The 12,377-nt window shown below is 43.0% G+C and overlaps 1 protein-coding gene, 2 long non-coding RNA genes and 1 other non-coding gene across 14 annotated transcripts in view, besides 6 other annotated features; 2 read left to right on the forward strand and 2 right to left on the reverse strand.

Annotated features, from left to right (window-relative positions):
* The window catches only part of GABPB1 (GA binding protein transcription factor subunit beta 1), a 79,810-nt gene extending 73,031 nt beyond the window's left edge, over nucleotides 1–6,779 (reverse strand). For all 11 annotated transcript variants that reach the window (XM_011521426.4, NM_016654.5, XM_024449886.2 and 8 more), the window contains exon 1: nucleotides 6,566–6,779. The gene's annotated coding sequence lies outside the window, so the exon portion shown is untranslated. The remainder of the gene's footprint in view (nucleotides 1–6,565) is intronic.
* GABPB1-IT1 (GABPB1 intronic transcript) lies at nucleotides 517–6,460 on the reverse strand. The gene has a single exon (NR_026891.1). It is a non-coding gene; the product is annotated as a GABPB1 intronic transcript (long non-coding RNA).
* On the forward strand, nucleotides 5,755–9,893 carry GABPB1-AS1 (GABPB1 antisense RNA 1). Its single transcript, NR_024490.1, has one exon. It is a non-coding gene; the product is annotated as a GABPB1 antisense RNA 1 (long non-coding RNA).
* Nucleotides 5,763–5,822: an enhancer, noted in NCBI's record as "active region_9391". NCBI's record gives its function as "activates an Ori minimal core promoter by ATAC-STARR-seq in GM12878 lymphoblastoid cells {active_cell/tissue: GM12878}" and the evidence as "EXISTENCE:reporter gene assay evidence [ECO:0000049][PMID:35858748]".
* Nucleotides 5,953–6,162: a silencer, noted in NCBI's record as "silent region_6425". NCBI's record gives its function as "represses an Ori minimal core promoter by ATAC-STARR-seq in GM12878 lymphoblastoid cells {active_cell/tissue: GM12878}" and the evidence as "EXISTENCE:reporter gene assay evidence [ECO:0000049][PMID:35858748]".
* Nucleotides 6,173–6,422: a silencer, noted in NCBI's record as "silent region_6426". NCBI's record gives its function as "represses an Ori minimal core promoter by ATAC-STARR-seq in GM12878 lymphoblastoid cells {active_cell/tissue: GM12878}" and the evidence as "EXISTENCE:reporter gene assay evidence [ECO:0000049][PMID:35858748]".
* Nucleotides 6,561–7,184: an enhancer, noted in NCBI's record as "H3K27ac hESC enhancer chr15:50647177-50647800 (GRCh37/hg19 assembly coordinates)". NCBI's record gives its function as "activates a minimal SCP1, AML or CMV promoter by ChIP-STARR-seq in naive H9 embryonic stem cells {active_cell/tissue: H9 hESC(naive)}" and the evidence as "EXISTENCE:reporter gene assay evidence [ECO:0000049][PMID:30033119]".
* Nucleotides 7,003–7,052: a silencer, noted in NCBI's record as "silent region_6427". NCBI's record gives its function as "represses an Ori minimal core promoter by ATAC-STARR-seq in GM12878 lymphoblastoid cells {active_cell/tissue: GM12878}" and the evidence as "EXISTENCE:reporter gene assay evidence [ECO:0000049][PMID:35858748]".
* Nucleotides 7,253–7,332: an enhancer, noted in NCBI's record as "active region_9392". NCBI's record gives its function as "activates an Ori minimal core promoter by ATAC-STARR-seq in GM12878 lymphoblastoid cells {active_cell/tissue: GM12878}" and the evidence as "EXISTENCE:reporter gene assay evidence [ECO:0000049][PMID:35858748]".
* MIR4712 (microRNA 4712) lies at nucleotides 11,910–11,991 on the forward strand. The gene has a single exon (NR_039862.1). It is a non-coding gene; the product is annotated as a microRNA 4712 (primary transcript).
* The last annotated feature ends 386 nt before the right edge of the window (nucleotides 11,992–12,377 follow it).

Raw genomic sequence — 12,377 nt, forward strand, 5'->3', positions numbered from 1 at the left:
TTTGTATTTTTAGTAGGGACGGCGTTTCACCATGTTGGCCAGGCTGGTCTCGAATTCTTGACCTCAAGTGATCCGCCCGCCTCGGCCTCCCAAAGTGCTGGGATTACAGGCATGAGACACTGAGCCCGGCCATTTTTTTTTTTTTAAACTTTGAAACTTTTTGGCTGGGCACAGTGGCTCACACCTGTAATTGCTGCACTTTGGGAGGCCGAGGCAGGCAGATCACAAGGTCAAGAGATCAAGACCATCCTGACCAACATGGTGAAACCACGTTTCTACTAAAAATGCAAAAATTAGCTGGGCGTCGTGGCGCGCACCTGTAGTCCCAGCTACTCGGGAGGCTGAGGCAGAAGAATCGCTTGAACCCAGGAGGCGCAGATTGCACTGAGCTAAGATCGTGCCACTGCATTCCAGCTTGGCGACAGAGTGAGACTCCATCTCAAAAAAAAAATTTTTTTTAAATCATAGTATCAGTATGCTGAGTATTTTTTAAATCAAAGGAGATGGAGGTGGACATTTTCCATTATTTCATTTTAATTGACTTTAATTTACCATGCACTATAAAACTATAAAATACCATGAAAAGATGTTTTAATATTATAAAATAGGACTCAAAATTAATATTTTATAGGTTCCTTATCTTCAATTCCAAAAATCCAAAAAACTTCTGAAACCCAAAATAACTCATCTTGTGGTAAACCTTACCCAAACTGATATGAAGCTATTTACAGTCTTTATCCTATTTAGTGCGAACATTCATACATTTTGTTGCAGAAACAGTAACACTTTTGAAGGGGGATATTGCACTGGACTCTATTGGAAGGCTACACATTACTACCTTGCCCATATAAAAAAAAAATTCCTAATTCCATAACCTATTAGACCCTAAGAGTTTGAATGGTGGACTGTGATCCTATAATTGCTAACATTTATTGAGCTATTAACTGTTATGTTTCAGGTACTGTTCTGTTCACTTTATATGAAATAACATTTAATCTTTCCAATCATCATGAGCTAAGTATTATAATAATCCACATTTTACAAAGAAGGAAACTGAGCCACGGAGAGATTAAGTAAACTGCCTAAAATCACACAGCTAGAGTATGACTAACTGGGATGACACTGGGATGAATATTTAAAATATTACACATAAGAGTAACAACACACAACAAAATAATTGATTATGGTAGGGTGGTAGGAGTGATATGTTTCTCTACTCAATTGATATTACTTCTAGAATAAGGAATCAAACAAAAAATTACAAAACACTACATGCATTTACAAATTCTCATGTACAATTTCTACAAACTTGCTTAAAATGCAGAGTATAAAACCCAAATTTCTCAGCTTATGCTAACACATTTAATTTTTTATTGAAAAGTTACATCTTAATATCTTAATTACAACATGATAGATAATTTATATTCATTGTAGAAGTTAGAAAATTTGGATAAGCAAAAAGAAAACAATCACCTGTAAAACTACACTCAGAAATAACCATTTAACAATTTGGCACATATCCTTCCAGACATAATATATTTTTGGGTTTTTTTACCAAAATGGAATCATGTTTTTAAATTTATTTTTTCTCACTTACATATACCAAGACATCCTTTCATGTCTTTATATTATTCTATCATCATTTTCATGGCTGAGAAGGCAGTACCCCACTGTAGGGATGGACCCTAACAATCACTGTGAAACATTTAGGTTGTTTACAATTTTACCATATAATGATCAATAGTACTGGCTCTAGAGTCACACTGGTTGGATTCAAGTCCTGGCCCTAACACTTAACTAACTCAGGTACCTTGAGCAAGCAACCTCATTTCTCTATGCCTGTTTTTTCTTCTGAAAAGCAGAAATAGTACTACCCACTTCATATGATTACCGTGGGGCTTAAAGGCATTAATACACAGCTTTTATAATCAACAATACTGCATCTAGTATGCTCACAATTAAATATTCACACACATCTTTACTACATCAAAAAAAAAATTCTTTAAAGGGAATTTCCATGTCAGAAGGTATGCCAATTTTTAAAGCTGCTGAATCTACCAAATTACAGTGTGGTTTAAAGCCCTTCATTAAATAGCCTTCTCACTTAATACTCATTTCTCTTTATCCAGGAAGGCAAAAACTATTATCAAGTTAACCAGTTTGTTTCACTCAATTAGCTTTTTGTTCTTCCACCTGTAAACCTCGGCATATTTAATAAAACCTCAAAGTTTATAGGTAACTTGAAGACACCTAGCTCAAATTCTCCTTCAGTACGATTCCTCTACTCTAGAATCCCCAATTTGTCAGTGAACAGGAACAGCCTACCACCCAAAACAACTCATTCTATTTTCACAATTTTGAGGAAATTTATCTTGAAAGAGAATTGAAATCTGCTTCTTTTAAACTTCCACCCACTGACCCTAGTTCCTTCTGGTCAAGTCAAATCTGATCCTTCTGCATGACAGAACTCCAAATCCTTAAAAGTGGCTGTTACTTCTTAAAAGAAGCTCCTCTTCTTTAGGTCAAACATCCCATTTTTTCAACTTTTTCTCATTTCCATTTCTCTCATGATCAAGGTCCTCGTTTATGCTCTACAGATAAGTGATTTTGACACTTAGGTGTCTACCACCTTGGAAATGAGAAAAATTAAGGTCCGTTCCTACCCTACTTAAGTTTGGGCCTCTGTGTGGCTTTTTATTAGCTCTCCAGATGATTCTGATAAAGTCTGAGAATGAATACAAGGTCTCACTTATGATAGTATGCTACCCAAAAAGCCAACACAATACCCCAAATATAATATAACTAGTACACAGTAAAGTGGGGCTAACACCTTGCTCTGTCAATAAGCTGTTCTACCAACTTCAGAATTATTCACAGATGGGTGTGTTGGCTGACGCCTATAATCCCAACACTTGGGAGGCCAAGGTGGGAGGATCACTTGAGTCCAGAAGTTTGAGACCAGCCTGGGCAACACAGTGAGATCTCGTCTCTACAAAAAATTAAAAAATTAGCCAGACATGTTGGCAGGTACCTGTAGTCCCAACTACTCAGGAGGCTGAGGCAGAGGCAGGATCGCTCGAGCCTGAAAGGTGGAGCTTGCAGTGAAGTATAATCGCACCACTGCACTAAGCCTGGGTAACAGAGAAAGCAAGACCCTGTCAAAGAAAGAAGAGGTGCAAAGGGGAAAACAGGGAGGGAAGGAGAGAGAGGGAGAGGGACAGAGGGAGAAGGAGAGAGGAAAGAGGGAGGGAGGGAGGGAGGGAGGGAGGGAGACAGAAAGGTGCACTAGCCCACCAACTGAACTGACAGCTGATTGCACCAAAGCATCTTCTTTGTATAGAGCACTGTGATGTCAACACTGAGAAAAAACACAGGCCCTAATACTGATCTCATCTAGTGCTAGATTTACCTTCTAGAAAGCATGATGGAACAAACATCTTCAGAAAACTATAATACTAATTGTAGCTATCCCAATGTAGGCACATCAGAGCTATAGAAACATTGTGATTACTAGCTGGAAACCATACTAGTTGTTGGGGAGGAGAGGGGAGCAGAGGGATGACACTAAGGAAACTAAGTTGCTCTCAACTTCAAGATTTTGTGTGGGTTTGTTTTTCAACGTTTGCAAAGTCAGAAGAGATGGAGGCCATCAGTGAGTTCATCTGAACTCAGGCTACTTGCAAACAGAGACTGGGTAACTGCCTCGTGCACCCTCAAAAATAAATTCATGATGCAAAACTTCATGTAATTTCTGAATTTCTGAATTCCTCATGACGTGCACTTTACCTGTTACCTGTTAATATTTCTGGTACTGAGGGGCAAAAGAAAAAAGTAAAAAAAAATTCATGGTACAGGAGATGTGGTCCATTACAATGACACAATGTTATGGGAAAAAACACACTAAAACCAAGCATACTTTTTTTTTTTTTTTTGAGACAGAGTTTCGCTCCTGTTGCCCAAGCTGGAATGCAATGGCGCTATCTTGGCTTATTGCAACCTTTGCCTCTCTGGCTCAAGCGATTCTCCTGCCTCAGCCTCCCGAGTAGCTGGGATTACAAGCGCGCACCACCACGCCCAGCTAATTTTTTGTATTTTTAGTAGAAATGGGGTTTCACCGCGTTAGCCAGGCTGGTCTCAAACTCTTGACCTCAGGTGATCGGCCCGCCTCCACCTCCCCAAGTGCTGGGACTGCAGGCGTGAGCCACTGTGCCTGGCCAAACCAAGTGAACTTAACCAAGATCCAATCTATTTTCGTTTGAACAGCAAACATTAAAAGTACACCTGGTATTTTCTAACAATTACACGAAGAATGACCAGATGCTTCCTGTTGATGGAACAGTAGAGAACTATAGACTGACAGATTCAGACTACAGTTCACAGAAACAACTGGAAACAAACTTAGCTTCCTTTCAAAGCCATTAAAATACGGCCTTAAATTTTTATGCATTAATCAATTAAGTATAATTGTCTCCCAATAAGTATAATTGTCTCCCAACCTAGAAAACCCAGAATGATTCAGAGAGACAAAGAACTCTAAGGATATGTCTCTGCAAACTGTTCGTTTCACCAAAGGATTCACTGCAGAATTAATTTTCTGTAAAATCTGTACCTCCTATAATTTTCAACATGTTCTATCTTTAAAGATAACATTTACACAAGTGTTGATAGCATATGTGGAATTCACGTGTTACTTGTGTAAATCATTATAAATATGTAATAGAATTAAATGTTTTAATCACTTAAGAATATCTTCGAATGTTCCTGAGTCTCCGAGATCATAGGCAGATTATGCAGTCTTCATCTGTGATTTTGTTTAGTCACCTAAATTCCAACTTTTAAAAAAGTTAGAGCCCAGTAAAAAAAGTATGGGAATCAATCTTATTCAGTCTTGTTAAAATGTGTCTTGCATAACAGCTTGATTTGACTTGTATGGTGAAAGCACGGTAAGAATGACACATTTCTGTTTTTTGGTTTTTTTTTTAAAAAAGTATGAGTGTACAGTGGAGTGTTCCAGAGGTTACATGGTGTGCTAACCACAACAGTCTGACGTAGATCTGAGAATCTTCTATTAAACCAGGCATTAAAAAGATTTGCAAAAATGCAAGATGTCACTCTTATCATCTATGTTAACATGTAATGGATTTATTTTTTGTTTTTGGAAAAAAAAAACCAAGAGAAAAGAAAATAAAGTCATCTTTAGTTTCCTTAAATTCAAAGTCTGAGCCTGAAAATGGAAGTATCAAAGCTGATGGTTATACGTCAGTGAGAAAAAAATTTAAACCAAGCTGGGTGGGTCTTTACATGAGATAAACTATCTACAGGAAAGAATGACCACTAACTTCTGCATAATAAATGAGAGTGGATCTTTTAATTCTGAGATGGCAATGTACTTTACAAGGACCATTTACAGACTACATCAAACCTTTTTCTAGATAAAAAACGTACTTCAGTAACTTGCCTGAATTGAGAGAGCAAAACAGTCCGGAGAGAAAACTTAAAATGTTTCCACATTATCAAGCCCCCTTCAGAAGTACTGTGGTCTCGGCCCCTCCTTTGAACAGATGTCCGCTCGCCACAGTCCAATCAGGTTTAAAGCAAGAGTATTTGTACTGAAAACAAGCTTAAAGTGGGAAGACACACACAAAGCAGGCCTGTATCATTCCTTTGGTTTCAGTTTTCACGATGCACCCTTGAGGCTAGGCACGCTGATTCAACACACTTGGAGAGCTTCACCGAAACACACTAAACACACAGTGATGAACTGTGCCCTGGCAGAGATGACCTGGCAAAATTCTCAACTTCTTCCCTGAGGCAGTGCACCCGCAGTTCTCGGCGGCGAAGTCTTTGGGGCAGAAGTCCCGAGCCTTCAGAACGGCAGGCTTCTCCCCCTCAGGACTCCAGTCCCCGCGGCCAAGGCTGTCGCTGCGGGGGCCCCGCGCGGGACTGGCCAGGCTCTTCCATTAACCCTGTCTGGTCCGGCCGATCCCGCCGCGACCCGAGCGCCTCTCGGCCCCGCAGCACAGGGCGCCCAGGACCCGCCACCCTCGCCGCCCGTTCCCCTCTCCGGAGAGCCCGGCGGGGCCGTCAGGCTGCCGAGACAAAGGGTACCGCGGCGCCAGAGGCCGAGGCCCAGCCGCGCCTGCCTTCCTCTTTCTCCCGCCCACTGCCAACCTCCAGTCGCCCGCAGAACCTCCGCTGCCTCGGCGCGACCCCATCGCCACCCCGGGGCTGCCGCTCGGGACCGGCAAGCCGGGTAGCCGCGAGGCGGCCGCGGCATGCTAGGGCCGAGGAGGGGGCGGCGGCCGCCACCATGTCTGCCCGCCCCTCCCAGAAGCAGTGTGCCCAGCGGACAAAGCGCAGCGGCGGCGCGGGCGCCCAGGCCGACCCCGCCGACCCCCGCGGAATAAGCGGGGCCAGGAGCCCCGGAAACCCGGCGCCTTAATGCAATAAACAGGAAATCGCGGGGATGATCTGGGTTCCGGGGGAAGTGGAATTATTTTTTACCAGCGAAGAGATCAACTTCCACATCCGGTGGTAACAGGGCCCTACACAGACCCGCACTGACCTGGAAAAGCTTCGGGAGCGGCGACGGGAAGGCAGCAGGAGGTGGTGCGGGGACCCGAGGCGCCTCGTACCCGGCCGGGCTGACGCGGCCCCGCTACACACAAAGCGCTTCAGCTGCACAGGGCGCTATTTTCCGAAAATGCCGCGTCTGGTCGGCGCCCAAAATCCCCACCGAAAAGTCCCCCGTGCTGCGCGCGGAGGGACACATGGTGTGCGAGTGAGTCAAGCTCCCAGCATCCCTCCCGGACCCGGCCCTCTTCAGCTCATCGCCCGAGGATTTTCCGCCTCTGCCCTCGTCGGCAGATCCTGCTCCTACCCACTCCCTAGCTGTGTTCCCGCGGGGAGAGAGGGGAAAGAGGGTCTGATTTTTTAACGAAGGGAAAGAAAATATGCCATTTCTAGCGCTTCAGCCACACAAAGAAAGCGGCGGAATGATCCGCTCTCGGCGACCGCAAGTCCCGGCTCGCCCGGCGCCTGCGCGGCAGCGGGGGTGGGAGCTGCGGACGGCCATGTGCGCGGCGGAGAGGCCGGGTGGCCACCGAACCTTCCCGCCTGTTCTGCGGTGGGTAGGAGTTTGGAAACTAATGTTCCTGTGCTAACCTTCGTGTCTCTGTGACATGACTGTTGAAAGACGGAGAGTGCGGAATCTTTGGAGTTTTAAGCTTGCCAACTGTGCGGCCTAGCAGAATCCTGGGAGACGGAAGGACAGCCAAGAGGCTAGGATTTACCTTTAAGTGTCCCTAGATTCAACTAGGCAGACTGGGACGGGAGACGCTGTGAAGGTACCAGGGAAGGAACGAGTGAGGTTCCTTTTCCACTTTTTCATAAACTCAACAGTCAGGTTCATGACGAAGATATAGATATTTCTGTAGATTTTTTCCCCAACATTCTAATTATGCCTCATGTTTCGTAGATCCTAGTAACTGCTTGGATTACTGCCACCTCAGAGGTAGAGATCTGTTTTTCCGTGGCTGGAATGCCAAAAATTTTGTTGTATTTTATTAAGAAAGTAGCAAAAGTTTGGAGATTTGCAAAGTTAAAAAAAAAAAAAGCATTATGAACTTAATCTAGATGTGATTTGCTAAGGAACTTAATATATTGATATGTTTTTCACAGGGGCGTCTGGGCATGGCTTTCCCAACCTAGTAACTGCAACTTTTAGCATCCTACATGTAGGACTTGGGAATATGTGAGACAGCGCCAAGAATTTAATCCAGGAGAATTGACAAGCTTAAATGAAATCCATATTGCCCACTGATTTTGTGCAGCTTCAGATAAGTAATCTTTCTCCACTTAGCCTTTTGTAACAATTGATGTAATAAAGGTTTGTAGTCTTTGTGTAATTTATTAAAGCATTGTGCCTAAAATAGAAAAAAAGCATAGGAACCATAGGCTGTGTTTTCTTTTGATTTAATATTTTCATTTCTTCAGTTAATAGAAATTTGCCAAATTCTGATGTTTTTCTGTAGCATTATTTGAATGAGCATTGTTTATTTGAGTGAACATTCAGCTAATTGTTACAGAATCGTTGCCCCCATTAATCTTAGGCTGTAGAATGTAGACAAGTAAATAGGCATCATCAGTATGATGAGAGTGAAGCTACTTAATACTGTGGAATCAAATAAAGGAGGAACCCCTTACTAAACCAAGAGGGAGGAATAAAATGGAATGGGACTAGAGAAGCAATTAGCTTTAATAAGGGTATTATGGAAGACTTTCTAGATGAGAAGCAGTAAGTACAGATGTTTGGAGGCAAACACTAGAGAGATTGTTGGGTAAAGAAGACAATGCTGGAGGTCTACTTGTGAAGGCCTTGAATGCTATGTGCAGAAGTCAGCTTCTGAGAACCAGGAAGAAGATATTGAAAGATTTTAAGTAGAAGAATCATAGGATTGAATTCATTTTAGACAGATCACTGTTACACAAAAATTTGAGGCAAACAGAAGAGTTTGGAGTAAACAGTAGGCTGTGAGCCAGTAATGACTTGGACTGAGTTGGTAGCAGGTAGGTGTGAAGAAAATAAAGTGGTTATTGGGAGATTTGGTTAACTGAAAATGACTGAGGGAGATAGATGTCAGGTGACTCCCAAGTGAGTTGGTGGAGCAGCTAGGAGGATAGTAATGTCTTCACTGAGATTAGAAACAAAATAAGAGAATATATGTTAGGGAAGGAAGAAGTCTTTGTTTTGACCATGTAAAATTTGAAGTGCATGTGAGCCAACCAGTCATATATGTGTAGTGTGCAATTAGATATTCATTCAACACTGTTGGAAGAGCACCTACTCTGTGCCTGGTACTGTTCTACACACTGAAATAGGTAAAGCAGCAGCAAAACAAATGGTTCCTACTCCTGTTTTTTAGAGGGAAACAGCATATAAACAAGTTTTAAAAATAAGAGGAGAGAGAATATCCCATAAATTCGTGAAGAAGGCTGGGTGCAGTGGCTCATGCCAGTAATCCCAGCAGTTTGGGAGGCCGAGGTGGGTGGATCTCCTGAGTTCAGGAGTTAAAGAGCAGCCTGGCCAACATGGCAAAACCCCGTCTCTACTGAAAAAAATTAGCTGGGCATGGTGGCACGCTCCTGTAATTCCAGCTACTCCGGAGGCTGAGGCAGGAGAGTAGCTTGAACCCAGGACACGGAGGCTGCAGTGAGCCGAGATTGCGCCACTGCACTCCAGCCTGGGCGACTGAACGAGACTCCGCCTCAAAAAAAAAGAGTTTGTGAGGAAAATTAAAAGCTGATTGGATAAAGTGTTACTCTGGGGAAAAGAGAGCAAACTTTTGGTGGTTGGTTGATCAGAGATGGCCTCACTGAGAAGGTATTAGAAAGGACAAGAACAGTGTGAGACCAAAGGGAATAGCTGGGCAAAGGCCCTAAGGTGAAAAATTTGTTGTGTTTAGGGAATAGCAAGGTCAGTGTATCCGAAATCTAGTGACCAAAAGAAGGAATGATAGGAGGTGAAGTCTTCAGCCTCAATAAGAAGGTGAAGTGCACTGGAAGCCATTGAAGGATTTAAGAAATGGAGTATCTGGCCGGGCGCGGTGGCTCACGCCTGTAATCCCAGCACTTTGGGAGGCCGAGGTGGGAGGATCAAGAGGTCAGGAGATGGAGACCATCCTGGCTAACATGGTGAAACCCCGTCTCTATTCAAAATAAAAAATTTTTTTAAAAATTAGCCAGGCGTGGTGGCGGGCGCCTGTAGTCCCAGCTACTCGGGAGGCTGAGGCAGGATAATGGCGTGAACCCAGGAGGCAGGGCTTGCAGTGAGCCGAGATCGTGCCACTGCACTCCAGCCTGGGCGACAGAGCGAGACTCCGTCTCAAAAAAAAAAAAAAAAAAAAAAGAAATGGAGTATCATGGACTAGGATAGTAGCAGTAGAGATGAGGGAAGTGGATGGATCCAAAAAGCTGACCTATCTTGCTTACCAATTAAATGAGGAAAGGGAGGAATCAATAGTGATGCCTAGGTTTGGGGCATGTTGTCTAGGTGGAATTAATTTTAATTACACTTTTAACCCCTAGCATATCCAAATATTATTTCACATGTGATCAACATAAAAAATTACTAAATATTAAAAATATTTTACATTATCTTTCTCATAACTAAGCATTTGAAATCTGGTGTGTATTTTATACTTATAGCATATCTCAGTACTTGATTTCATAAAATTTCCAGCTGAAAAAATAGATTCACGTACCCAAGTCGTTCCAAGCATACTTAAAAGTTTTACGGTAATCGAATCGTGTATATTTTTAAATTTTATTTTAAATTAAAGTTAGGATTATGAATTCAGTTCCTAAATTAGCCTCATTTCACTTCTGCATTTCAAGTGGGACAAGTTATTACCATATTGGACAATGCAGTCTAGTGAAGTAGAGGATAGTGGAAAGTCAGACTTAAAAAGTTGTTTAGAACCAGCTCTGGAAGGCCTTGGATGTCAGATTAAAGGACTGAGATTTTACCCTTGAGTCAGGCAGAATAATGGATGGTTTTTGAACTAAGGAGTGACACAAGGTTGTGCTTATGACTAGAAGGAGGCCACTAGGTGGCCAGCTGGTGAGTCAGGACACCCTTCAGTTGCTTTGACTTCAGCCCTGTGGATTCAAAGTCTGATTTTTGTCAGCGCTCTAGAGCAGTCTCACCAAAAGTGTGGTCCACAAGGCAGTGCCAGTCTGTAAGCCCTTTGTTACACATCCATGTCAAGGCATTTACAGAAAGTAAGAATTTAGAAACTTATAGCAGTTTAACAGACTAATTTTATTTCTGTGGGTCTAATAAAAATTTGAGGGATTGTACTTTGCATATTCTTTATTTCCCTTTTTTTGTTTGTTTTTTGTGTTCGAGATGGGAGTCTTTTTCTGTCGCCAGGCTGGAGTGCAGTGGTGCAGTCTCGGCTCACTGCAACCTCTGCCTCCTGGGTTCAAGCGATTCTCCTGCCTCAGCCTCCCAAATAGCTGGGATTACAGGTGTGCACCACCACATCCAGCTAATTTTTGTATTTTCAGTAGAGACGGGGTTTCACCATGTTGGCCAGGATGGTCTTCATTGCCTGACCTTGTGATCCGCCTGCCTCAGCCTCCCAAAGTGCTGGGATTACAGGCGTAAGCCACCGTGCCCGGCCCTTTTTTCCTTTTTAGTTTATTTTTTTCTTTTTTGAGACAGAGTTTCGCTCTTATTGCCCAGGCTGGAGTGCAATGGTGCGATCTTGGCTCACCGCAACCTCTGCCTCCTGAGTTGAAGCGATACTCCTACCTCAGCCTCCCAAGTAGCTGGGATTACAAGCATGCACCACCATACCCTGCTAATTTTGTATTTTTAGTAGAGACGGGTTTCTCCATGTTGGTCAGGCTGGTCTCGAACTCCCAACCTCAGGTGATCTACCTGCCTTGGCCTCCCAAAGCGCTGGGATTACAGGTGTGAGCCACTGCACCCGGCCGTTTTTTTCTTTTTCTAATAATTTTTATCATATTACATAAAAGTACCTATGGTCTCACAGATGAAGGGAGTCAGAAGAACCAAACTCCCAGAAGACATATAAATCTAAATGCCTTTTTTACTTTAGAGTGAAAACTGTAATAGCTAAATTATAATGGACATCTGCTCATTTTCTCCCTCCATGTAGACATGGAAAGCTACACGGAAATAACCGAGTTTATAGTAGCTACCATATATTAAACGTTTCCTGTATGCCAGCCACTGTGCAAAGCATATTATATATATTGTCTCATTTAATCCTCACAACTCTGTAAAATAAGTATTGTTTGCCCCATTTTTCCAATGAAGAAACCGAGGCTAAAATAGGTTGAATAACTTACCTAAATTCACCATCCTCAAAGGTGTTAAAGACAGGATTCCAGTACAGGTCTCTCATTTCCTTCATGATTAGGAATACTACTTTGAAATGAGAGACCTGTACTGTATCTGTTAATTCCAAATTCCCTGGCATAAAGACTCAGTACATTGTTTAAAGAGAATGCATGAAGTTAACTGCATTACCTTTTGGAGGGTTCATTTGTGAATTTGGGGCCAAAGTAAGGGGAGTTACTGGTATTCTAATAGCATCAAACAAATGAATTCATTTCATCTTTTGGGGAGGTGGAGGGAATAAGGTCTCACCTTGTCGCCCATGCAGGCTGGAAGGCCGTGATGTGATCTCAGCTCACTGCAGCCTCAACCTGGGCTCAAGCGATCCTCCCACCTCAGCCTCCTGAGTAGCTGGGACTACAGGTGCACACCACCACGCCCAGCTCATTTTTGTATGTTTTGTAGAGACTGTGTTTTGCCACGTTGCCCAGGCTATTCTCAAACTCCT

This window comes from Homo sapiens, chromosome 15 (assembly GCF_000001405.40).
Source record: "Homo sapiens chromosome 15, GRCh38.p14 Primary Assembly".
In the NCBI taxonomy this organism is placed as follows: Eukaryota; Metazoa; Chordata; class Mammalia; order Primates; family Hominidae; genus Homo; species Homo sapiens.